The sequence below is a fragment of the Homo sapiens genome, chromosome 6 (assembly GCF_000001405.40).
Source record: "Homo sapiens chromosome 6, GRCh38.p14 Primary Assembly".
NCBI lineage: Eukaryota > Metazoa > Chordata > Mammalia > Primates > Hominidae > Homo > Homo sapiens.
In genome coordinates this window covers 125,981,617-126,006,024 of record NC_000006.12, presented here as the reverse complement: position 1 = coordinate 126,006,024, position 24,408 = coordinate 125,981,617, and the positions used below count along the sequence as shown (strand labels likewise).

General features: G+C 37.6%; 1 protein-coding gene across 68 annotated transcripts in view, besides 4 other annotated features; it reads right to left on the bottom strand.

The window, feature by feature from the left end:
* The window catches only part of TRMT11 (tRNA methyltransferase 11), a 285,804-nt gene extending 266,319 nt beyond the window's left edge, over window positions 1-19,485 (bottom strand). For 50 of the 68 annotated variants that reach the window (XR_007059304.1, XR_007059310.1, XR_007059309.1 and 47 more), the window contains exons 1-7: window positions 19,403-19,485; window positions 12,203-12,268; window positions 9,985-10,058; window positions 7,891-7,972; window positions 7,710-7,802; window positions 7,341-7,475; window positions 6,412-6,568 (exon numbers count right to left, since the gene is read on the bottom strand). Coding sequence is in view for 7 of the 68 variants with exons in the window: in NM_001031712.3 (NP_001026882.2) it covers window positions 6,412-6,568; window positions 7,341-7,475; window positions 7,710-7,802; window positions 7,891-7,972; window positions 9,985-10,058; window positions 12,203-12,268; window positions 19,403-19,474 (679 nt within the window). In the remaining 61 variants the exon portion in view is untranslated. Of the gene's footprint in view, window positions 1-6,411; window positions 6,569-7,340; window positions 7,476-7,709; window positions 7,803-7,890; window positions 7,973-9,984; window positions 10,059-12,202; window positions 12,269-19,251 lie in introns of all 68 variants that reach the window. The other 18 variants (XR_007059327.1, XR_007059324.1, XR_007059325.1 and 15 more) reach the window with 7 other exon arrangements.
* Window positions 18,602-19,431: an enhancer, noted in NCBI's record as "NANOG-H3K27ac-H3K4me1 hESC enhancer chr6:126307740-126308569 (GRCh37/hg19 assembly coordinates)". NCBI's record gives its function as "activates a minimal SCP1, AML or CMV promoter by ChIP-STARR-seq in primed H9 embryonic stem cells {active_cell/tissue: H9 hESC(primed)}" and the evidence as "EXISTENCE:reporter gene assay evidence [ECO:0000049][PMID:30033119]".
* Window positions 18,602-19,454: a biological region, named in NCBI's record as "NANOG-H3K27ac-H3K4me1 hESC enhancer GRCh37_chr6:126307740-126308569".
* Window positions 18,965-19,454: an enhancer, noted in NCBI's record as "active region_25034". NCBI's record gives its function as "activates an Ori minimal core promoter by ATAC-STARR-seq in GM12878 lymphoblastoid cells {active_cell/tissue: GM12878}" and the evidence as "EXISTENCE:reporter gene assay evidence [ECO:0000049][PMID:35858748]".
* Window positions 19,432-20,262: an enhancer, noted in NCBI's record as "NANOG-H3K27ac-H3K4me1 hESC enhancer chr6:126306909-126307739 (GRCh37/hg19 assembly coordinates)". NCBI's record gives its function as "activates a minimal SCP1, AML or CMV promoter by ChIP-STARR-seq in primed H9 embryonic stem cells {active_cell/tissue: H9 hESC(primed)}" and the evidence as "EXISTENCE:reporter gene assay evidence [ECO:0000049][PMID:30033119]".

Sequence of the window (24,408 nt, the reverse complement as noted above, 5' to 3'; positions counted from 1 at the left end):
AGTCAGTTCCTTAACACCTGGTTTCTGCGTCCACTATTTTACAATGATAAAACTTCAAAAGGAGCTACACTCCTTTCCTTCCACCTATGGGTCATCTGAAGGTAGACATGGCCAAGGAGTATACATTAGTCTTCTGGGTGAATTCTCATTACTGGAGGAGCTGACTCACTTGACAGAGGGGATGAGAGGGGATCAGATCTACGGCTGCAGAGTTCTGTGCTACCTAAAGCAACTGGCATCCACTTGCACATATTAATTATAAACAAAGAATTTGACATTTATAATTTTATATTTCAATTCCCTTGCCTGCTGCTATAACCTGCCAACAGTTGCAAATTACTAATATCTTGGAAATTAGCCAAAAAGAGTACTAGAAAATGAGTTTATGGTCAAATTCTTTATCATCACCATTTAATATTAGCTACATCTAACATCTTTCACCAAAAAGGCATCTAAAATATCATCAAAATAATAATCAAAAAGTAATAATGATAACCATTACAGTTCACTAAATGTCTACCACGTGTCAGGCAACTTCCTAGAAATATGATATACACATATTGCCTCACTTAATCCTCACAATATATTAGTATTACCATTTTACAAATGATAGACGTGAAACCCAGACAAGTTAAGAATCTTGCCCAAAGTCACATACTAATTGGTAAAAAGATTTAAACTTTGCTCTATTTATTCTTTTCTTTATATCATACTACCTCCTTTGGGATTAGCACCAATTGAAGTAAATACATATTCACTCACCAATTAGATAAACAAAAGCAAAATATGCTACTAAACAAATTACATTAAATTAAGTAAAGCTACACACTCTGTTAATAAGAGTGTTATATATGCCATTCACAAGTCTTGTACTGTATCACAGACAGGGCTGTGCCATTAATAGGTATTCAATAAATTCATGATGATCATTCCTTTAGCCAAACTCACATGAGAATAGTAGCACTTCCTAACAACTAAGAGATGACACAATGCTATGTCTCTTCCCCTTTGGGAAAGTGGAGACACACACTTTAAAAAAAGAATTTTTACTAAAATGAAAACCAATGTATTTGTTAAAATTGAAAGAAAAGTGTGTTTCTGCCGCTCATAATGTCATTCTAAACAACAGTAGCAAACAGTCTAAAGGAAAAAAGGAAAAGTATTTAGGCATGAAAAGATTATTTTTCTCCTTTCAGTCTCCCAGAAGCTTTCTACCCTACTCTATATCCCTGAGAAAAATCACGAACCATGAGTAGTAAGTGAGCAATACATTTGGGAAACTACATACATTTCAATTTTGTACCTTTAAAATAAAAAGGGGATTAGACACATGAATTTTTTTTAAAAAACTATTTAAAAGGCAACCAAAAGAAAAATATCAACAAATGTTTTGTGAAAACTATGGCCATGGAGAAGGACACAGAGCTACGTATTTCTCCAGTCCTTCAGAAGGTACCACCCATCGATGAGGCAAAAGGCCCAAGAGAGGACAAACTGTGCTTAAGACCTGTGTCTATTCACAATTATTGGTTATTATGTTTCAAAACAAAAGCACCAAAAATTGACTGATGTCCTAAAGCTATACTTAAACTACAAACACAAATTACGAAAATATATTTCAGCAGCACCTTTGCAAAGATCCTCCTCTCATTTTCTATTAATTGTACTATATGAACAGTCAGACGTTCCAAATATACTACCCACTGTGAGGAGCTGCCCTAAAGCAAACAGAAGCAGGTCTCCTTGCCCCTCAACACACTATAAATGGTCCATATATTGACAGCTGTGAAGATAATTTCAAAATCTAGCCTCATCTACTCAACAAAAAAATATTACCCATACTGGCAACCATATTTTTTAACTCTGTGGTCTAGTCTATGTGTATGTATATATATTAATCATTTTCTACATGTATATATCTAAAAGAATTATTCTCAATTGACAAAAAAAGTTTTTAAAGTCCAAGAACAAGATTAAGAATAAAAGCTTTAGCATTTGGAAAAAGGTAAATTAAATCCATTCTTCACATCATACTGGAGAATAATCTCCAAATGAACCAGAGATCTAAAAAGAAAAAATGTAAAACTACAAAAGCACTAGAAGAAAACACAAATGAATTCCTCTATAACTTGAGTGTGGGGAAAACTTTTGCATGGCAAAAATCAATTAGTAGCAAAGTCAAAAGATAAATGACAAGCTAAGGGAAAATACTGCAGCATACATCACAGAAAAATAAGGGGAGTGTGAGGAGGTTGTATCTCAAGCTTACAAAGGACCTTGAAAAATCAGGGAAAGAGACCAAAAATGCTATCAAAAAATGGGCAAAAGACAAAAAAAGACAAATCAAAGAAAGTCATAATGGCCCTTAAAATATAAAAAATTGTGATACTTCATTCGTAACCATAGACATACAAATTAACACTACATTGAGATATCATTTTTCACCCAACAGAACAAGCAAAACTTCAAAAGCCTGAAATATACTCTGCTGGTGAGACTGTGGAAAAACAGGGACTCTCCTACAACTGTTGGTAGGAATCCAAAATAGTATAATGGAGACAAATTTGGCAGTATCTAATGAAACTGCATATGCATACACTCTTCAACCCAGAAATCCTACTTGTAAGAATTTACCCTAGGACAGAGGGGTCCAATCTTTTGGCTTTCCTGGGCCACATTCGAAGAAGAATTGTCTTGGGCTGTACATAAAATACACTAACACTAATGATAGCTGGTGAGCTAAAAAAAATTGCAAAAATTCTCATAACGTTTTAAGAAACTTTACAAGTTTGTATCAGGCCACATTCAAAGCCATCTGGGCCACATGTGGTCCATGGGCTGCGGGTTGGATAAGCTTGCCCTAGAGCTACATCTCCAACATTACAAAGGTATATATTCATAAGGTTAGTCATTTCAAGCATTATTTGTAACTGTAAAATACTGAAAACTACCGATGTCCAACTATAGGAGATTGTTTGAATAAATTACGGTACATACACTCATGAAGCAAAACTAAAACAGAATAAAGATAAGCTCCATGAACTGACAGGAAGTGATTTCCAGGAAATACCATTAAGTGAAAAAAGCAAAGTTAAAACCAACACACACAGTATGATACCTTTTGTGTAAGAAAGTAGCGAAAATAAGAAAATGTATATATTCCATTATGAATCAGAAAATGTATTATCATTACAAAAAGAAACAGGAAGAATCAACTAGAAAACAATGAAGTTAGTCACCTAGGATAGGTGGGAGAACAGGCTGGAAGCGTTATAAAGGTAAAGTGACATCTCTTTGAGTACCACTTCTTGTGTAGTTCTGACTTTTGGAAGCAAGTTCATCTTATACATATTTGAAAATAAAAGTAAATCAATAAGGAGTGGGGGATAGGAGATAAAAACCTAAAACAGAGGGCAAACTGGAACAAATGAACCCAAATGAATTTTAAATGAAAAGGGAAAAAGCAGGCACAGTATTTGACTTTACTGCCCCTTAGGGTGAAGAACTGAAAACACATCCTGAACTCTTATTCACAGGATATTTTTAAGTGGCATAAGCAAAACAACTGTGAAACCATTTCAGATATAGGAATGAGGAAAAGAGTAAATGTGTTGATGTAGCTAGGAATCAGGGTTCTCACTGTGGAAGAAGGTACACATAAACATAGAATAGGGTAGTCAAAAGGAAATCTGTAAGGATTGACTGCAATTTATAGTATATGTGCAAATTCACAGTGTCTAAAATACGTATATGCATGTGTATGTGCATACGCACAGTATATAAGAATAAATACATGTATATTTGCACATGCACTTACATGCATATTGTGTATATATGCATATATATTTTCTAGTTTGTCCACTGAAAGGATCTATAATCCAGATTTCATTTCCCTGCTAAAAGAAACAAAAATTCCTTGGAAAAATGACTGATACCAGAGCTTGAACAAATAGAAGAGAAAGTAAGGAAGTACTCCAAAGAAAAAAGGATAGGAACATGTCACAAAGACAGATTCAATGTGAAAGAGCTCTCACTGGGCAAATCACAATTTGAGGAACAAAAGTAATTAAGAAAATTAAGAAATATAATGAATTATAGACCATCGGGGTTAAAAAGGAGAACCCATTAGTTCATATTAATAACAAATAGAAAAACAAATACATGGAAGAGAGGAAAGGGCTTTTGCTTACAGTAGAATAATGAATGTCGACTTGTAACTGTGGAGGGAGCACTGGAGTTGGAAAATCATCCCTTTGAAACCATCAAAGTAAAAACTGGTTCAGGAAAGAATTATCAATGGCTACTAAACCTGACGACCTGAGTGGTGAGAGGAGACTGGATAAGGAATAGAATACTACATGGCCTTAATGTGTCTCTCCACAGATTGCTTAATAGCAAGAAAAAAAATAAAATAAAATAAAACCACCAGTAATTGTACTGTTTATGATTATGAACAGAAAAAAATCAAACACAACCTAGACCAGATGATCAAAAATTACCAATACCAATGCAGGGCAGAAGGCCATCATGTACACACCCCTGAGAAGGCCACAAAAGTCACTGATGTAGTGGTCCAGCTGGGAATGTATAACCTAATCCTAATCTTGAGGAGACATCAAACAACCCAAAATGAGGAAAAAATTAGATAAAAAATAAAGGGAAGAGAAATAGCATCTTGAAAAGTGCAAATTTCATAAAAGAAAAAAAGACTTTGGCTGTGTTCCAAATCAAAGACATCAAAGAAATATTAACAACAAAATATAATACCTGATCCTAGCCAGGAAAGGGAAAAGGATGCTGTCAAAAATATTAATATTACTGGGTAAACTGGCAAGACTGAAATATGAATATCAAAGTACTGTATTAATACATCTATTAACACTGAAAACAGTACTGTGGTTATGTAGAAGAATATATCCTCATTCTTGAGAAATAATTACTTGAAGGGTAAAGGGATGTGATGGATACAACTTTCAAATGATGCAGGAAAGAAAAGATTATGTAAATAGAAACAAATAGAACAAATGATAAAACAAATGAGGCCAAATGTTAACAACAGCTAAGTTAAGGATACATGCATGTTCTTTGTCCTACTTTTATTCTTGTAGCTTTTCTGAAAGTTTGATATTATTTCCAATAAAAAGTTTAAAATTTGGGGTGAGTTACTTAGGATAATGAGAGTGGGGAAGAAAAGAATATAGAGTATGCTGAGGGTAGGTGATATGGAGAAACTGGCAGAGAAGAAAGACTCACCAGTGAATTAACTCAACAATAAACAGAGAAAGTTATTCCATCAATTAGAAATTTATTGACCTTGATACTACTTCTTCCTAAGCATATGTGGTCATATTCCTTAAGTTAGTACATGGTGTAATAGCTGGTTGGCAGATCCCAATGCAGAGAGAGGCAGCTCAAAGTTAAGGGCATGAGCTCTGGAGTTGGACTGCTTGAGTTTGAATCCTATGAAACCAATATACTGTATAACCTTGGCCAAGTCACTGCACCTTTCTCTCTGCCATAATTTCCTCAAGCAAATTTTTAAAGTATCTCCATGTTAGTTGTTGTAAGAATTAAACTAGATAGTAGCATCAGAATGCATAGCATAGTACCTGATACATTTACTATTCAATAAACGTTAGCTCTGCATCATCACTGCCCAAGGGGAAAGATGGCTACAGGGACAGGCTCCAACCACAAAATGAGCCACAATGAGCTTGGTCAAACAAATTTAAATACAAGTATTTGCTGGGTATGGGCAAGATCCAGCAAAATTGAGTGGAAGTAGGAAAAAGTCTGCACAGAGTCAGATGGAGTTTTAGGACTTCCATAAAAAATTATCCCAATCATATGCACAAAAAACCAAGGTCACTGCCACAGTGACCAGGCTATCTAGCCCATTGATACTTTGACACTTTTCTTATTTCACACTTACTTATAAACCTCCATAAACCAACTCAAAGATAGGATATATTAACTATTTTCTCCATCCACATATACAGTTATGAATTTAAACTGTATGAGTACATTTAAACTGGATGAATACATTTTTTTGATCTTGTCATCCAAGTCTTTCTTTCACCAAGAGTTTTCCTATTTAAATAAACTATACAGCTTTACAACATTTCTACAATGTATGGTATTGCAAGTTTTTCTGCTACAAAAAAATTAGATGGATGCTCCCTCCTAGTGGTTTATCTGGAATAAAACCCATACAATTCTATCAGCATCATCTTTGAAGTGGCATAAGTGTTAAATACTAGCTATTACACAAGTATGTGGTTGTCTGTTGGCCACTATCCAAACACAATTAAAAGATTATCCATTTACTCTTTTAGCAAAAATATTACCATGACCTTCATTAATATAAATAAGCAACATCTCTACACTAGCTTAAAAGTTAAATAAAAATACCTGTTCCAACAAATGGATCAAAGACAATATCATTTTCTTTCACTTTTCCATGGTTAGCCATAATGAATGACAAACCAGCATCCATACTTGTATTTCCAATAAAGTGTCTCTTTTTGACACTGTATGACTCAATAAGCTCTCTCTGTCCATCTGCAATCTAAATCAGAGATATTTCTTATGTTAGTATAGCCATACAGAATAGACTTAAGATAATCACTCACAATAAGACCATTGTATTTTGCTGATAAGAACTTCTTTCCACTTATTACTGCTCTAAACTTATTTATTTAAAATAATGTAATTGAGGTAGTTATGAACAAAGCCTTTTATTGCTTAATGTCATTCCATTTACTTTTTCTTTTCAAAACAAGTATGAACTGCATTTGAATGCAATTACTCCAGAGGTAGGTGTTAAGGTATGCCCATTTCTTTGTTCTCCTACATAACAATAATCTCTAACATAAGTCACAACTTCCACTCACAGCTTCCAATCACCCATTTAAAGCCTCAGAGAAGTCGGCAGAACTGCTTTACAGTAATTCCATTTCTTTTGGAATGGAAGGCCCAGATTGGGAATCTCCACAAATGAGATTCCTCAACTACCACAGCACTCTGTGTTTTCTCTGCTTTATAAAAAAAAAGAAACAAACAAAAAAAAAAAAAACAGTCCAGATGTTCTGGTAAGTCTTGTTTCAACATTTCCAGGTATACCAACTCCTCCCTATATCTAACAAGCCTCTTGCACTTCATTTAAGAATCTCTGGGAAAACACAAAACAAAACATAATCACATACTCTTCACCAATTTTAATCCATTCAGTAGTTCTGACTCTTCAGCTGCTTTAAAGTTCTACATAGGAGTCAACAAAAGGCCTAATAAGTAGCTTTCAAAAAAACAAACTGACATAGGTAGAAAGAAAACTTGCTCACCCATCTACCAAAATAAATATTATGTGGATTCTCAGGGATGCAGTTTGGGTCTAAACCATAATCCTCCAAAACAGAAAATACATGTTGCGGTTTCTTTAAATTCACTTTTCCTTCAAATGGCAGAAATTCAAGTGCCTAAAAGAAACAAAAGAAATGCTGATGTCTTATAATAATTTACAATGAAAAATGGCGCTTATCTAATAACATTACCTTGTAAGCCTGGAGTCAACATTAAATAAAACATGAAAAGCACTTAGCACAAAATGTGGTACAAAATAAACACTTCACAGACATTAGGTATTCCTATATATCAACAATGGCCAGACTGCATTCATCATGTAGGTTTTTTGTTTTGCTAAATTTACTTACATCTATTCGCTTGATTTTCTCTTCTTGTGTCAATGTCTTATTAAAAGTGTGAATCTTTATTTTATATGTAGAGTCCGAATGTAGAAATGGAACCTAAAATAAAAGGAAATCAGTTTTTTGAGTATTTTAATTCTACAGAATCTGCACGCATGCCTATATAAAACCACATTTTACTACGCACCATCTTCTCCACAGGGTAGTTTTTAAGAGAACTGTACAGCTCCTCAGGAGATTGTCCATGACCCCATAGTTCAAATATAGACCTAGGAAATAAATGATTGGTACTAACCTCAGTAAAGAACTTAGTTCACACAGGAATACATACAGTCATTTTACTAGTTCTTTATGCACACTCCACTGATTATTGCCTATGTTTTGCAAAGTATAAATGAATCGGTTATTTTAGATAAATGGGTAAAAAGCTGCAGAAAAGCCAATTATTCCCAATGTCTTCTCCATAATACAAAAAGACTAATGACCAAATAAAAATGTTATTAACAATTAGCTGGCCAGGCACAGTGGTTAACGCCTGTAATCCCAGCATCTTGGGAGGCCGAGGTGGGTGGATCACTGGAGCCCAGGAGTTCAAGACCAGCCTGGGCAACATAGTAAAACCTTGTCTCTACAAAAAAGGCAAAAAATCAGCCAGGCATGGTGGCACACACCCATAGCCCCAGCTACTTGGGAGGCTGAGGTGGGAGGATCACCTGAGCCCTGGAACTTGAGACTAAAATGAGCCAAGATCATGTCACCGCACTCCAGCATGGACAACAGAGTGATACTCTGTCATGCATGTGCGTGCGCACGTATGGACACACACACACAATTTTAGTAACTAACTTACCCAAAATGTTGAGGTCTAATAAGGCATATTCCTAGGTACTTGTTATATTTTTCACCTTTTTGTCGCATGCTCAAAATATTTCATGTTAATAATAAATTAACTTTCAATCCCTTCTAACACAGAAAAATTTGAATTTAAGTTGGTTTTGAATCTATGCTTTTATAAAAGTCTATCTTCATTCTGATACAGTTAAATTGTAATTTTTTTCCTTTGCAAATGATTTCTTCCTTTTCTATTGAATTTACAGAGAAAAGGCTTCTACAATAATATTAATCTCACTTAGCTATCACTTAAGGTATACCTCAGCTACACAAAATATATAGATAATAAAAAGCAATTAAAAATTATATTATACAACTGTTAATTGTGCCATTAATCAAATATATGAATTAGAAGAGTTATGAAAGAAGCATACAAGTTCTTAGTACTCCAGTGGCTATTTTAAACCTAACAAGCAATTATTCAAAAAGAGTTTTTTAAAAGTTATGTTTCTGTTTTCTAGTCATTTTTATTTCATAATAAGGCCTGTTAACGACCTTCACTGTAAAAGATTAAAGGCTGCAGGTAGTTCTCAATAGGATGAAGTTAACTAAATATTGGGTTGTGTCCAATTCCGTAATACAACAATTACATATGATGATATAAAACATCGCTAACCATGTTAATAAAACTAGATATATGTAAATTCTTATTTGCATTGCATTAGCAAATATAATTTCTACAGAAAGTTTTCAGCAATCTGCCAAAATGTTCAGGAAGAAAAAGCAGCTTAAAGATAACACAAGCTGTTTGATATTTAAGATGCTAGTTAAAAATACAGTTTAATTTTCAAATCTGATGACAGAAAATTTTCCAACAGTATAAAGAAAAAAGAAATGAAAGAAAAGAAAAAAAAAGTGGATGCCAATGATAAAGTCTAGAAACACTGAGGATAAACAATGAACAGCATCATTACATTAATTCACACCAAGATTTGGTACTCATAATTATTTTCTCTACCAACTGAAACAGTAAAACATGTCTCACGGCAGTCCTCACTTTTTGTTACCTTACACTTCACTAATCTGCTCATCCAATTAAAAACCATCTATGAAAAAAGTATTTTTGGATTTTCAGCACTTTGGTTATAATTATATGTGGCATCTATCCTGCGTAAGAACATAGTGTTTATATCTCATACTATACTCCCGCATAATACGGAAGTTTTAAAAAATTATTCTAAAACAAATGTGTCGACATTTCCCCAGAGATTCTTTCATCCTTGGTTTCGGCAGGTAACCCTCCTCTGGTCCCCCACCGCCACCCAGTGGCAGTTGTATGTAACTGCAAGCTAAACTGAGCCTTCACACTGCCCAATATAGCAAAAAACAGGATTGAGTGGTTATGAGAAGTACCAGTATATTCATGCAGGAGAACATAAGTTTCTCTTACTTGGCACACACTGTCCGTTTCATCAAATTTCTTGCAATATCTTCAGAGGGAATGCTAAGAATCCAAAATGGTGACTAAAAGAAATAACAATATGCAACTTAATTCTAAGTGGCTACATGGCCTCATATGCTTTTATTCAAGAAGTCAATAAGGAGAAGTGCCTATTTGCTACTTTCATGTAAGAATATCTGATCTGACTGTAACCAAAATAAAAATCGTTCCAATAGTAAAAAAGTAAATTAGAATAATATAGTAAAAACATTTTTATAATGACCCTATAAACGAATATATCCTCAAATGAAACATTAATTTTGTATCTGCCCTTTTATGTAGCTTTACGAAAGGAATTAATGCATATTATATCCCAAAGTATAATCTTGAAATTCATCATGGCTAATCATCCCTTATAATACAGCTATTTCATTTTTAATTTCTAAGTAATGTATTTCTTAGTTGCTACATGAGACCTTTTTCTAGGTAGGTGTGGCCATCTGAGGGTGAAGGAGGGGCCCTTTGAAACAACTATGATAGAAAATCATGAGGTACATTATTAAATTCTCATTAGCTTTTACTATTTTATATTTTATCTAGGGGAAAAAAGCTCCAAGTGCATCAGGGGTGTTTTCCCAATCCTCTATCCCAACACCCAAGATTACAGGCACTGGTAAGCTGCAGCCAGATAACCTCTTGCCAGAACACAGCAAAATCCAAAAGGATCCTGACCTCATTTCATCACCCTTAGCCAATTATATCCGCACTCTCCTTCCTTTCCTCCTCCCCTCAATAAGTGAAAGTCATTCAGGAATAAAAGTCCAACACTACAGGACTTTCAACTTTAGCTCTTTCATCTTTTGCAAGAAATCCTTCCTGTCACACCTAGCTTTTTTCTTTTTTCTTCAACTTTTAAGTTCAGGGATACCTGTGCAGGATGTGCAGGTTTGTTGCATAGGTAAACGTGTGCCATGGTGGTTTGCTGCTCAGATCAACCCATCGCCTAGGTATTAAGCCCAGCATCCATTAGCTATTCTTCCTGATGCTCTCCTTCACCAGACTCCACCACCCCCAACAGGCTCCAGTGTGTGTTGTTTCCCTGGACATGTCCATATGTTCTTATTATTCAGCTCCCACTTATAAGTGAGAACACGTGGTGTTTGGTTTTCTGTTCCTGCATTAGTTTGCTGAGGATAATGGCTTCCAACTCTATCCATGCCCCTGCAAAGGACATGATCTCATTCCTTTTTATGGCTGCACAGTATGCATGATCTCGTTCCTTTTTATGGCTTCCATGGTGTATATGTACATTTTCATTATCCAGTCTATCACTGATGGCATTTAGGTTGATTCTATGCTTTGCTATTGTGAATAGTGCTGCAATGAACATATGCATGCATGTATCTTTATAATAGAATGACTTATATTACTTTGGGTATATACCCCGTTTTTTTTCTTCCAATATTTACCCTACCCAACAGAAAAATTCAAAATAATCCAAACAAGAAAAAATATTTTCATCTTAGTATTACTTTTATTGAGAAAATTTTTAAAGCAACCTGAATAAAATGAAATGGTTAATTATGGTAGAGCTAGTCAATGAAAAATATTATGTAGCTATGTTAGAGATAAAGGCCAAGTAACAACTTAGGCCTATATTGACACTATCAGGTGAGAAACACAGACTACAGAAGTAGAATTACAATAGGGAAAAAAAAGTACACGAAAAAAAAAAAGACTGGAAGGCAGCATCCCCAAATTATAAGTCACGTCAAGAAGGAACTGCAAATTATTTTTTCTATTTTCCAAACTTCTGTCAAACACTGATATAGTTTTATGCAAAATACAAAGCTCATAAATTCAGTCTTATACAATGCACAATTTCAAATTTTAAAATGATTCTCAACACGAGCCCAACATTCTGCCAAATTCTAAATTCAAATTCTAAACACAGCTCACCAATGGAGCACAGCCCTTTTTTAGGTGAAAGGACAAATTATGACACAACTGTTGACTAAAAATGTAAAACAAATAAAATACTAGAAATAAATCTAAATTACTTAACAAAACCACAAATTTTCCAAAAATATCCACTTTATTCCACTGCCTCTTGAAACAGATACAAGTAACCATACAAATATAAATTTAAGATATGCACTTCTTCTCTTCAAACCCAAGGCTCTATTTCTAAGTATACTCCATATGGTCTAATGAAAATTTAACTTACCTTTCCATAAGTTTCTTGACTGCTGGCAAACTGACCTCCAAAAAGCAAAAGCAAAGACTTTATTTCCTGTATTGAAAATATTACAGAGAAAATACATTTTAACAAAAAGGAACTAAAAATGTACTAAGGGAGACAGGTATTACATGACTAAAAAATAAGAGTAGGCTGAAGATCTAACTGAGGCATTTAAGCTTCAACATCAGACAATTACAATTTAGGGTTCAGAAATAATCTAATAATAAAAACCACAGGTAAGTAATTTCTGAGAAATTTTCGACAACAGAAGAGTTAGCAAACACTTGATCAAAAAATTCCCTGATTTTGGAAAGGAAAAAAACAGGTTACACAAAGTGCAGATTAGTAAGACTGACGATTGATGAATAAAGTTAAAATGAAAATCAGACACATGATTTGAAGATGTTTGGAAAAGAAAAAAATAATCAGCCAGGGCATACCACTATGTATTCATTAAGCACAAATAACTATCTCATCTTCTTTCTGTGTAAAGTTACAGAACTAGAAACAGAACTAACATAATAGATACTTTAAAAGCATCATTCATGCAAAGTTGAAATCTGTCCAGAGAGTGTTTATATTCTTTGAAGCAATCACTTTGTACTGATAAACCCAAATAATTATACAAATTTTATAATTTGTATGACTAACAAGTTATCTCCTTAAATCACATAAAACAGGTAGAATCACACTCTTCCATATAGGTCTCATGGAGGATGGAACCTAATGAGAGGTAAGTGTTCCACTGCTGGCTACCTACTATCCCCTTTCCTCCCAACCAGAAGGAAGAGCCTTTAACACCAAGCCCACCGCCATCAAAAGGGAAACTATACCCAGACCAGGAAGTCCCCCACTCCAAGACCAAGAAGAATGAGAAGTTCAAGCTACTAGTGCCATTTCTATTTTGTCTATGCAACAAATCATTTTTTAAAATTCAGTGTTAGAAGGGGCTGAATTCAGTCCAATCAGATGGATCGACCAAGAACTATCACAGACTACTGATAAATCAGTGAAGGCAGCCCAAAGGTTATTTTGCAGCAAGGAAAACACAAATCTGAATAGGAGACATCATGAGACTTAGAAATTAAATAGACCATAATCTGATTTTCAGCTCTTCCAAATACTAGCGATGTGGCTTTATACAAGAATCTTAAATCCTCCAACTTTTAGTTCCCTCAAATGTGAAACAGGAATCATAGCTACCTCATCAGGTTAGGTGAACTATAAAGAGAGAAGCATAGAACCTAGGTGGTTATTAAGGGAATCAAAATGATGAGGACCCTGATAACTGTCCTAGAAGTCCAGTGGCTCAAGAAGTCAACCAAGACTGATAGAGTTATAGCACTTAAAAGAAAAAAAATAAAGTTATAGATTAAATTACTTCATCTTGCATGATTGTTGTTTGTTCTATATTAAAGCATATTGTAAAGTCAGTTTTACATTTAAAACATCCAACTATAACCAAGTTAAAACACCAAAGTTTGCTGCTCCTGGAATATACTGTTAAAAAGCTGCAACAAGCTAAAACACAAAGATCCTAAGAGTTAGGTGGGGAAAAAAAGTGAAAGATTAAAGTTTTATGGCATAGCATTATCTCTACTACCCAAAGCTTAAGCAGCCACCTAAAACTGAGAATAAATATGATAACCCAAGTTTCAAATTGAAAAGCAAAACATGTTTAAACCACTTCATCAATCTACTTGGAAAAAGCAAAACACAAAATGTTCATTAATCTTATGGCAAATTCAACTTTCCAGTTGAGACTCTTTCTATATTAGGAATAAAAAATAATTTATATTGAACATTGGATATAAAAATGTAGCATGATCTGGGGCATGTGTGATGCGTTAATTCCATGAGCTTTTCTATTATTTCAGCTACTTGCTTTTTCATCCATTTAAAAGGTTGCTTCAGGACAAGCAATAAAACCCAGGAGTTTGAACTTTAGTAAACACTATTTAGTACAATAAGTACTACATTAAGTAGCTGCCAACTATACTTAGCCCTGATTAACTCTATCAGAGGTAAAACTGGACCACACTTATATTCCTGATCTCTCATTTTAATTCATAAAGGCAGCCATTCATTATAGCTTCCTTGCTTATCAGTTCTAATGCAGTAGCTGGGCCCAAAAGGATAGACTGTCCTTTGCATTGCCTTTCCCAGAAGAGATTCTATATCACTGATTTTAATATTTTAAGCAGCCAGGTATGGCGGCTCCACCTGCAATCCCAGCACTTTGGGAGGCCGAGGCAAAGAGATAACTTGAGACCGGGAGTCTGAGACCAACCCTGGCAACACAGTGAGAGCTCCCAAGACCCCCTCCCGCCCCCTCACACCAACACTCAGCCTCTGATTAACACCCGGCTCCACAAAAATAAAAATAAAAAAATTAGCCAGACATAGTGGTGCACCTGTAGTCCCAGCTACTCAGGAAGCTAAGGTGGGAGGATGGCTTAACTTGGGTCTTTGAGGCTGCAGTGAGCCACGGTCACGCCACTGCACTGTAGCCTGGAAAACAGAGAGAGAACAGTCTCCAAAAAAAATTTTTTTTTTTTTTTTGAGATGGAGTCTCACACTGTCACCCGGGCTGGAGTGCGATGGTGTGATCTCGGCTCACTGCAACCTCCACCTCCCAGGTTCATGCGATTCTCCTGCCTCAGCCTCTTGGGTAGCTGAGATTACAGGCGCACACCACCACATCTGGCTAATTTTTTGTATTTTTAGTAGAGATGGGGTTTCACTATGTTGGCCAGACTGGTCTCGAACTCCTGACCTTGTGATCCGCCCGCCTCAGCCTCCCAAAGTACTGGAATTACAGGAGTGAGCCACTGCGCCCGGACCCCCAAAAAAATTTTTAAGCAACTAATATGTGCAAGTCCCTGATCTATGTAAAAATACACACACATTTATCTTAGGGAAATTATGGTCTAGTAGAACCAACAAAACCACCTCACAACTGAAATGTAAAGTGTAAAAAACAGTACATGTTCTTAAACAGGTAAAAGCAAAAAAGTATTAGAGTACAAGAGAGTAAAAGATTACTTCAGTTTGAGAAGTAAAGTTTCATGGAAACTGCCTCAATCCCTGAAAAAAATCTAACCCAATGACAGGAATTCAACTTCCAGGTATGGCAAAAGAGGTAATTCAGATTAAGCTTCTTGCTGAAAAGAACTAGAAAAGCTGGCCATCTAATTGAAGGCATAGAAAGATAACAAAAATTACCAAACCAACATCCAGGAGAGGACAAAAATTCCAAGGTGGAGCCACTTTTTCCCTGAGACATTTACAAATCCAAAAACAGCTGCAAGAGTGAACAGCCCTTCTGAGTGCCCGATAGAAAGGGAAAAAAAGAGAAAGGGCCCCCCAGAGGAGAAAAGGATACTTGATGAACCACCTAATTTACACTAGGATGTCAAAAAGCTACACTCTGTGAGTACCTGGGAATCAGAACACAAACAGGGCTTAACACCTGAAAATGAGTTAAACCCAACCTAGATTCCTCATGCTCCTATGCGTTCCTATCTTCTTGAAGAGGATGTACATCATCCCAGCCCTCAAATTATTTTTTCAAATAAATTTTCAAATACAACATCTGGCATATATTTTAAAAATAGCCCACTATATGAAACAGAACAAAAAGAAACAATAGAAACAGACCCACAGGATCCCTTTTATCATATACTTTAACATAACTACGCTTTCTACATTGAAGGGGATTCAAGAAAAAAATAAGAATTTTGGCAGAGGAGGAAAAACTACAGAAAGGGAACTGTGGATCTGAAAAATAATCATGTAAAACATATAAAGCTAAAAGAAATAAACATGTGATTAACTCTAAATGAATACTTCCTATGTAAAAATCAATAAAGAATGGGAAAGACCCAAACCAGACTAAAGGGAGCACAGAGAGCAAAGGTGAAAGCAGGAATTCAGGGAATAATGAGTCAGTTTTGGCAGCACTAAGGACTAGGTGGGAAGTGAAAGCACAAAGGAAAGAACCATGCAGTGATGGACTTTGAATGCCCGACTAAAGATTTTCATCTTAAGAAAAATGAGGGTGTAAAACAGAACAGAGTTTTTGGAAGAATAAACTGGCACAAGTGTAATACACTAAGAAGAATTTACGACGGAAAAAACAAGTAAAAATCACCAAGTACTAAGGTTGTTATTCTGGAGACCACAGTCTAACCACTCCATTGTCACTGCATTGCCTTACTTTACACAGTCACACTCCTGAGCCTCTCTAGTTCTGGTCCAGTATTCTCTAAGTGGTATCTTTTCTCTCGTACTTCAGAATGATCTTTCTAAAACACAAATGATCTTGTCACTTCCTGGCTTAAAATGAAAAACAGTCAGTGGCTACCCATTATATCTAAAAATCCAAACTCCTGGCCAGGCGCAGTGGCTCATGCCTGTAATCCCAGCATGAGGCAGTCGGATCACAAGGTCAAGAGACCGAGACTATCCTGGCCAACATGGTGAAAGCCCGTCTCTACTGAAAATACAAAAATTAGCTGGGCATGGTGGTGCAAGCCTGTACTCCCAGCTACTCGGGAGGCTGAGGCAGGTGAATCACTTGAATAGGGAGGCGGAGCTTGCAGTGAGCCGAGACCGCGCCACTGCACTCCAGCCTGGCAACAGAGCGAGACTCCGTCTCAAAAAAAAAAAAAAAAAAAAAAAGAATCCAAACTCCTTAGAATGGTGTCAAAACATTTGCAAATCTAGATCTTACCACCTCTCTGGCCTCAATGCCCACCACTTCAACCTCCCTCCCCAAGCCTTCCAAATTACCATAACCAATCACACCTCTGTGCCTTTAAGCCTGTTTCTGTTTCTCACAGAAGGGGGCTTTCCAATCCTCTTCACCAACAGAACATGTCCTTTGTCAATTAAGACTTAATTAAAAATTTATTTCCTCCAGAAACTCAAAACATTAATACTGCATCAATGCCACAATCTTCCTTCATGACTCCTAAGGCCAATGAGTTAAACACAACTGAAGAAAATCACAGAATCTTAGCATGATTACAGATATACGACTTTCACCTTCAGCTGGTTTTCAGCATTGCTCTAATACCTATGCTCTTCTCCACTCAATCGTTTTACTTTTCCTTGTCAACTCTCCCCTTTGGTCTCAATGACTATTTCAAGTTTTACTATTTGTCTCAGTTTCCCCATTCAACTGCTGGCCCATCATCTCTCAAGAAATAACTTCCACTCATTCATTACCTACAAAACAGGCCCTCAGGCAACTACTCCACACCCACCCTAACTTTCCTTGTCCAATCTCCCCTCCTACTGAAAAGAGAACCCCTCCCACCATGCCCTTGTATCCCTTCTCTTCCCATCAGCCTACAAATACACTCAAGCTCAATCTCATTCTCTCCATGGGGAGAATCCTCCTTTCACCCTAGGTCCTCTTCAAACTGTTAACCAATTTCTTACTTTCCCTTATGCTCTAGCTAAGGACACTCAGTCTATCCTATCTCCCCTTCCTCACTTTCCAGTGATTACTAAACCAAGCCACCTGGCTTCTCCTACTAAAACTCAACATATTCGCTTTAGCAAAAATCACCAATTAATTATCTTCTAATTGAGACTATCAATGACACTTTTTCATTCTTTTCTCACTAAAAAGCAACTGCATTCGACATTTATCCATTTGTCCCTGCTTCCTAAAACTTTACCCTTCTGATTTCTGCGGTCTCACATCCTTCTGGCACTTGCCCATCTTCTTCATGGCCTCCTCCGACTTTCCCTTAATATCAATGCTTCCAAGCATCTATACTTGGCCCGCTACTCTTTTGACCTTATCCTTTGAGTAATTTCTTCCCCGCTCCTAGTTTTCATATGAAGAAGACTCCCAAATATTTATCACTAGTCCAGATCACTCTGCCATACTCTATGCATATTCATATATCCACCGCCTCTTGGTCATCTCAGGTTGATGTTACACAACCACATCAAATTCAGTGTAAACAAAATTTAAATCTTACATCTGCCTATGTTCTCTATTTTAAATGGAGACACTCCTACCTATATACACCCCAGGAGTCATACCTGACTGGTGCCCCTTTCCCACATATTCAATCAATCCAGCCTTAATGACTGTATGGCCTAAATATTTTCCCAGTCTATCCCATCCTCTTACTCCTTGCCCTAGGTCAGACCTTCTTAATCTATTAACAAGACTATTCCCACAGACTCCTAGTCTCTGGCTCAAGTCTTATTCTTTTCAAATCCATCCTCCATAGTGTTGTCAAACTGATTTAATTTTGTGGTCACTTTTTTACTTAAGGCTTTTCAATAAATCCCCCTTCCAAGCTCCAGGGTACTCAAGGTTTTCATTTTCTGGCCTCGATCTACTTCCCTTGCTCTCTTCTTACCACTCTGCCACATAACTAGTGATCCAGTAATAATGAACACCTTGTAATTCTAATTTACTGATTTATCTCCTTGGCCCTCTAACTCCTATTCATCCTTTATTTCAAGTGTCATCTCCTCTGGAAGCCCTCTTAAAGGCCAACATCCCCAACCCCTCAGGTAGATTAGATTTCCCTTCCACGTGCTCTCATATTTCCATGTGCATCTATCACTGCACTTACCGACGCTCTTTTGTCATTCTACGCCTATGTGTCTGCTCAGCCCTTACTCTAAACAGTAAGCTCCTAGAGGGCAGAGATTGCTTACATCATCGTTACATGCCCAGCGTACCGATCTTCGACTACATGCATTCTGAAAACGTTTCTTGAATAAATAAAACACTCTTCTCAACTTCTCCATCATCTAATCCCCACCACCATCCCCTCCACTGAGCTTGATCCGCAGATTCCAATACTTCAAACACCAGCCTGAGCATTTGTTAGCTGTCTCTATTCTCCGCTAGACGAAGAGCTCCGGGAGTGAGATGACCGGTCATATTCACCTGCCTAACTCCGGTACTTGATACACGGGCAAAAGAATGAAAAGTTTAAGCAGGCCGAGGGGTTTGGTCTCGGACTTCTCTCACACACACCCTCCGCCAAGCTCACCCCGCCCGAGGACTGGGGACGCGTGACCCGCGCAGACCAGCGAAGACCCCCGAATCCCAGCTTCCTCGGGCTATGCAGATCACCTCCACCCACTCCACTCCACTCCAGCGTCCTCTTCCGTCGGAAGTTCCGGAGGGCGCTACGGACTCACCGGCAGGCGGAACTCCAGATGCTCCTGCGCCATGAGGAGCAGATACCTGTTAAGGGTACACGACAGCGCCATTGCAGCTGCCCACCGTGCGCCTGCGCGGCCCGCGCTAGGTCCCTCTTTCTCCCTCCCAAAGCCCAGTCTCCACAGAGACAGAGCCTGAAGGGCCGGAAGCGGAAGCTCTGCGAGGCAGGCGCTATCCCGACGTTTCTCGCGCTCCGAGTCCGAAACTCCGGCCGCTGTGGGAGGGGCTTCCTCACCTGTGAATGCCTGGTGGTTAGGGGTCTCCCAGCGCTGGTAGCTGGTGAGCGGGGACGCGTGGCTTTCAGGAGCAGCCTGTGATAATAAGACAGTATATTTCCAAGTTATCGTTCCACTTGGAGTGTGCTTCCAGCTTTCTCTACAGCCCTTCAAAACCTGTTCTTCAAAATTGGACTGAAATTTCACCATTTCCTTGGAAATTTCACCATTTCCTTGTAGGTTTGTCTAACCAGCACAGCTTTGGGAACTGATTTAGTTGGGCCAGTCATTTAACAGTATATTTTTCGTATTTATGTAACAACTTTTCGAGAGCACATGCCTTATAACCCAATTATAATAAACTCTTGAGGTCTGATATAATCTTTTATGGTTCACTCTATTCTTAACAAAAACCAAAAGAATATCTTCCTCAAAGTAGGCAATAATTATTAGGTTGTGTTATTTGTTAGACTCAGGACTAAATCCACAGCCAGCCATAAATTAAAACTTGGAGAAAGCTCACACTGGCACAGATTTCATAGCAGATAGTTTATGAAATATATTTTAATTGCATATTCTATGTATATATGTGACTTTTTTTTTTTAAGACAATCTTGCTCTGTCACCCAGGTGAGTGCAGTGGCGCAATCATAGCTCACTGTAACCTTGAACTCCTGGTCTCAGGGGATACTCCTACCCTAGTCTCCCAAAGTGCTAGAATTACGGGCTCAAGCCCTCCCTCTGGGCTATTTCTGCTTTTGAGAGTACCGAGCCCTTTGCCCTATTAAAAATTATTTATTTTGCATTTCTCTGTGGTATTGTACAAGGTGCAAAAGAGTATGTATCTGGCATATCCCCAGCGGCATGTGCCAGAAACGTAGTTGATGCGCAGTGGTAGTGATTAAGAACATAGGCTGTGGTGTCAATATTAGATTCAAACCTCACTTCCACCATTTACCATGTATATGCTCTTAACCTCTCCGAGCTTGAGTTTTCTTTTAAAAATGGAAAAACACACTGCCTCCTGCAAAGGATTGTTACAAGGATTAAGTGGAATAATGTTCATAAAGTGTTGAATATAACATCTGGCATATTGAATGGGGCCAATAAGTGGCACTTGACATTTTTCTTAAGAAAATCACATGAGAATTTTTGTTAGCAAGAGATCTGTTTTTGTTAGGAATATGTCTCAAGTTCACTTGTGCTAAGTGACTCTGAGAAGCATAGCTGTCTCTTGACCCCAAAACTTCAGAAAAGGGGGTAAAAGTACTTTGAGACAAGAAAAGTTGTTTACTATTTGAGAAGAGAGGCCAAGGTTGGGACAGAAAACCAATGAGATGTTGGGGAAATGATGTGCAGTACTTGATATGCCCCATCCCCAGAACTTGTCAAATCTTCAGCAAAATTAATATGGAATTTTGATGGGGCAACTTTATAGAGAATATCAAAGAATTGCTGATTTTCATGCCTGGATTAATATGATGCTATATAGAGACAAATGAGACTACAAGGCCTGGAGAACCCAAATGGAATCAGGTGTCACTGATTTTTCACCCAGCTCCTTTGTGCTACAGTTCAGGACTAAATCTATACTAAATCTCCACCTCAGAAACCAGCAGGAGAGTATTTACATCATGAATCTAAATTGTTGGATACCTGGTCTGGAGAAGTAGAGATTAACCTTGCACAGGCCACTAGAGTTAGTGTGGAACTACTGTGACATCAGTGAAACTGCCTTTGAGGGACTCACAGCCAGACCTGTTCAAAGTTCTTGAGCTTACAAGAGTGGTTAAGAAGCAGCAGGAGAATAAGGACTTTGGAATTTGGTGATCAAACTGCATCCAGAGACTTGCTTTTTTTTTTTTTTTTTTTTTTTTTGTACTGTAAGGAGCAAGGAGGTTCATAGTCTGGCTTCTGGGAACTGATCCAAAGTTCCATCCATGTTCCATCTTCTAGGGCAGACCTCTTAGAACCTGTCTCCTTCTGTGAGACAGCTGTTGTGCAAACGTTAAAGCCTCTGGTATAGGCCGCCTGTTACTAAAAAATCAGAGGACATTCCTGGGAAGTAAGGATCAGAAATTGGAAAGGGGAATTTTGAGTTTTGGTTTTAATATGCCACTTAAGTATTGAGGCTAGTAGGACACACTCAGAGAAATGAATAGAAAGTTAACAGGTCCCAGCAGCAGAGGTCACATGTAATATCAAAACTGCCCATGCATCTATCTCAGGCTGAACATCTAACACTTGAAAAGGGTCTAGGTATCACAGAGAACCATAGGGATTTGTACACCAATAAGAGGGAGAAAAGTTATCTTCATATGTATTAAGACTATGATTTTTGCAATTAGTAAAAAGAGGCTTCTGAATAGTTTTGAGAATAAAATTTTATTGGAATAAGTTATATAAGAATTGCACAAACTTTACTGCAGCAGAGCATTACTGAGGTTTGAATTTCTTGATGTCCCAGAGGGGTCTCCCCTCTTGTCAATCTTAATGAAAATAATTTAGGAAAAGAGAGAAATAATACTGCCTACTCTAAGGAAACAAGCCTGTATGAGTTGGAATTCTGAGGCACCAATTCAGACTTAAGCAGCTGGAGTTGATTTAAGTATGACTCAGCTACTTGAGGTCAAATTTCCAACAAGATCCCCAGAAGCAGAGAAATGTAGATCCCATCCTCTTTTCTAAAGACTCCCCAAAACAAACTTGAAGCCCTAGTTACAAACGATGCCCTCTAATTTGCTACCTGGAAAGCAGGTTCTATGCATAGAAAAATATGTGCAGGGAAACAGGCTGGAGACCCAGTAAGTCTTTGAATGGGATGCCATTTATTACTTCCCTTGGCAGAACTTGTGAACCAGAGGTAACAAAGATTACAGTACATTTGCCTCATTTGAGCCACGTCTTTTGTCCTCCTTTCCTTCCTTAAATCAGAAGCAATCATGATTTCTAAACAAAGAAAAGCTTCTGGCAAGTCATTTAAAGTAGGTATGCCTGTCATCTTCTACACGCTTGTTAAATCACACAGATTCTTGTTTAACCACAACTCCCAGTAATCCTCATCTCTTGCTCCTATTTGCTTCCCATGAGTAGGAAAATTATTATATATCGTATAGTCAGTCTCAGGTCCCATAAAAGAGATTTTCTTGAGAGTCTACCATAACAAGGCCCAAAGGGGAATTGTACTTAATCCTATAGGGCACAGGTTCTCAAACTTGGCTGCACATTGTAATTACCTGAGGAGTTTTTTAAAAATACCGAGGCCTGGAATCTATCCCCTGTGATTCAAATTTTATTTGGCTGGTGTATGGCCTTGACGTAAAGATTTTTAAAAGTTCCCCAGTTGTTGATTTTATGTGCAGCCAAATTTAAGCACTACTTATGGCAGGAGTTGTCAAAGTGTGGTCCTAGGTCAGGCAGTATCAATATCACCTGGAAGCCATTTAGAAATACAGAATCCTCCCCGACTCCCAGACCTGCTGAATCAGAAATTCTGGGAGTAGGTCTAGGAGTGTGTTTTAAAGAAGCCCACCAAGTGGTTCTGAAGCACATGAAAGTTAAAGAGTAACTGCCTGAGGAAAAGGAGGATGGATGGACGGGCTGTGAATCCCAGGAGGCTCAGGTACCACAGATAAATAGCATGTTTTATTGTCTTCTAACTGCCTTTGAGGAGTGAATTTATGGGATAAATTTGCAAAGTGTTTCAAATATTTTTCTCAGAGGAAGATGTAACAAGAAGAAAATCTTCTTCTTTTACTAGCTAGATTGATAATCTTTTTGTTGTTGTTGTTGTTGTTGTTTGAGATGGAGTCTCGTTCCATCGCCAGGCTGGAGTGCAGTGGCGCAATCTCGGCTCACGACAACCTCCGCCTTCTGGGTTCAAGCGATTTTCCCGCCTCAGTCTCCTGAGTAGCTGGGACTACAGGCGGCCACCACCATGCCCGGCTAATTTTTTGTATTTTTAGTAGAGACGGGGTTTCACCATGTTGGCCAGGATGGTCTCGATCTCTTGACCTCCTGATCCACCCACCTCAGCATCCCAAAGTGCTGGGATTACAAGCGTGAGCCACCGCACCCAGCCAATAACTAATCTTGAGAGAATCTCTTTAGCTGAGAAAATATCTAGAATAATCCTACTTAAGTTAGGTGATTTCCTATGGGTTAGGTATGTTGGCTAGAACTAGGGCTTCAGAGAAAGTTAAAACATGTCTAATGAGAAAGTAAGAGAAATGTGTTCCAAAAGCAAGGAGTGAAGTAGAGGAAGACAGCAAGGAAGACGGCAGGAGCTATACAGCCCTGTAAAAGTTTGGCTATTAAATTCTTGAACTATCTAGTGTGGGTGAATTGTTTGGAAACTCAGACATTTCACAACTAAGTTATATATTGATCATGGATACTGACCTGAAGGACATAATGCCAGGAAGGTGCAGCTGACATCTAGGTTATACCCTTGATTTTTGGATTGAAAGTTGCCTGCAATCAGGGTCTTCAATCAGATTTTGGTCTATTATGGTAACATTTTAAGGAACTCAAGAGATTACAACAGATTTACTTACCAGGAATATGAGTCAGTCACTAGGCTAAGGCAATGGAGATGCAAAGACAAATTTAAAAATAAATCCCCCAGCCACAAAACAGCTCAAAATCCAGTGGCAAGAAATATCTTACTACATCTTGGCTAGATTGTATAAGGTTTATTCTAGGAAGATAAACAAAATACCATGAAATGAAGCTGAAGAAACAATACTGCCGAGGTTGGGGATGAGAAG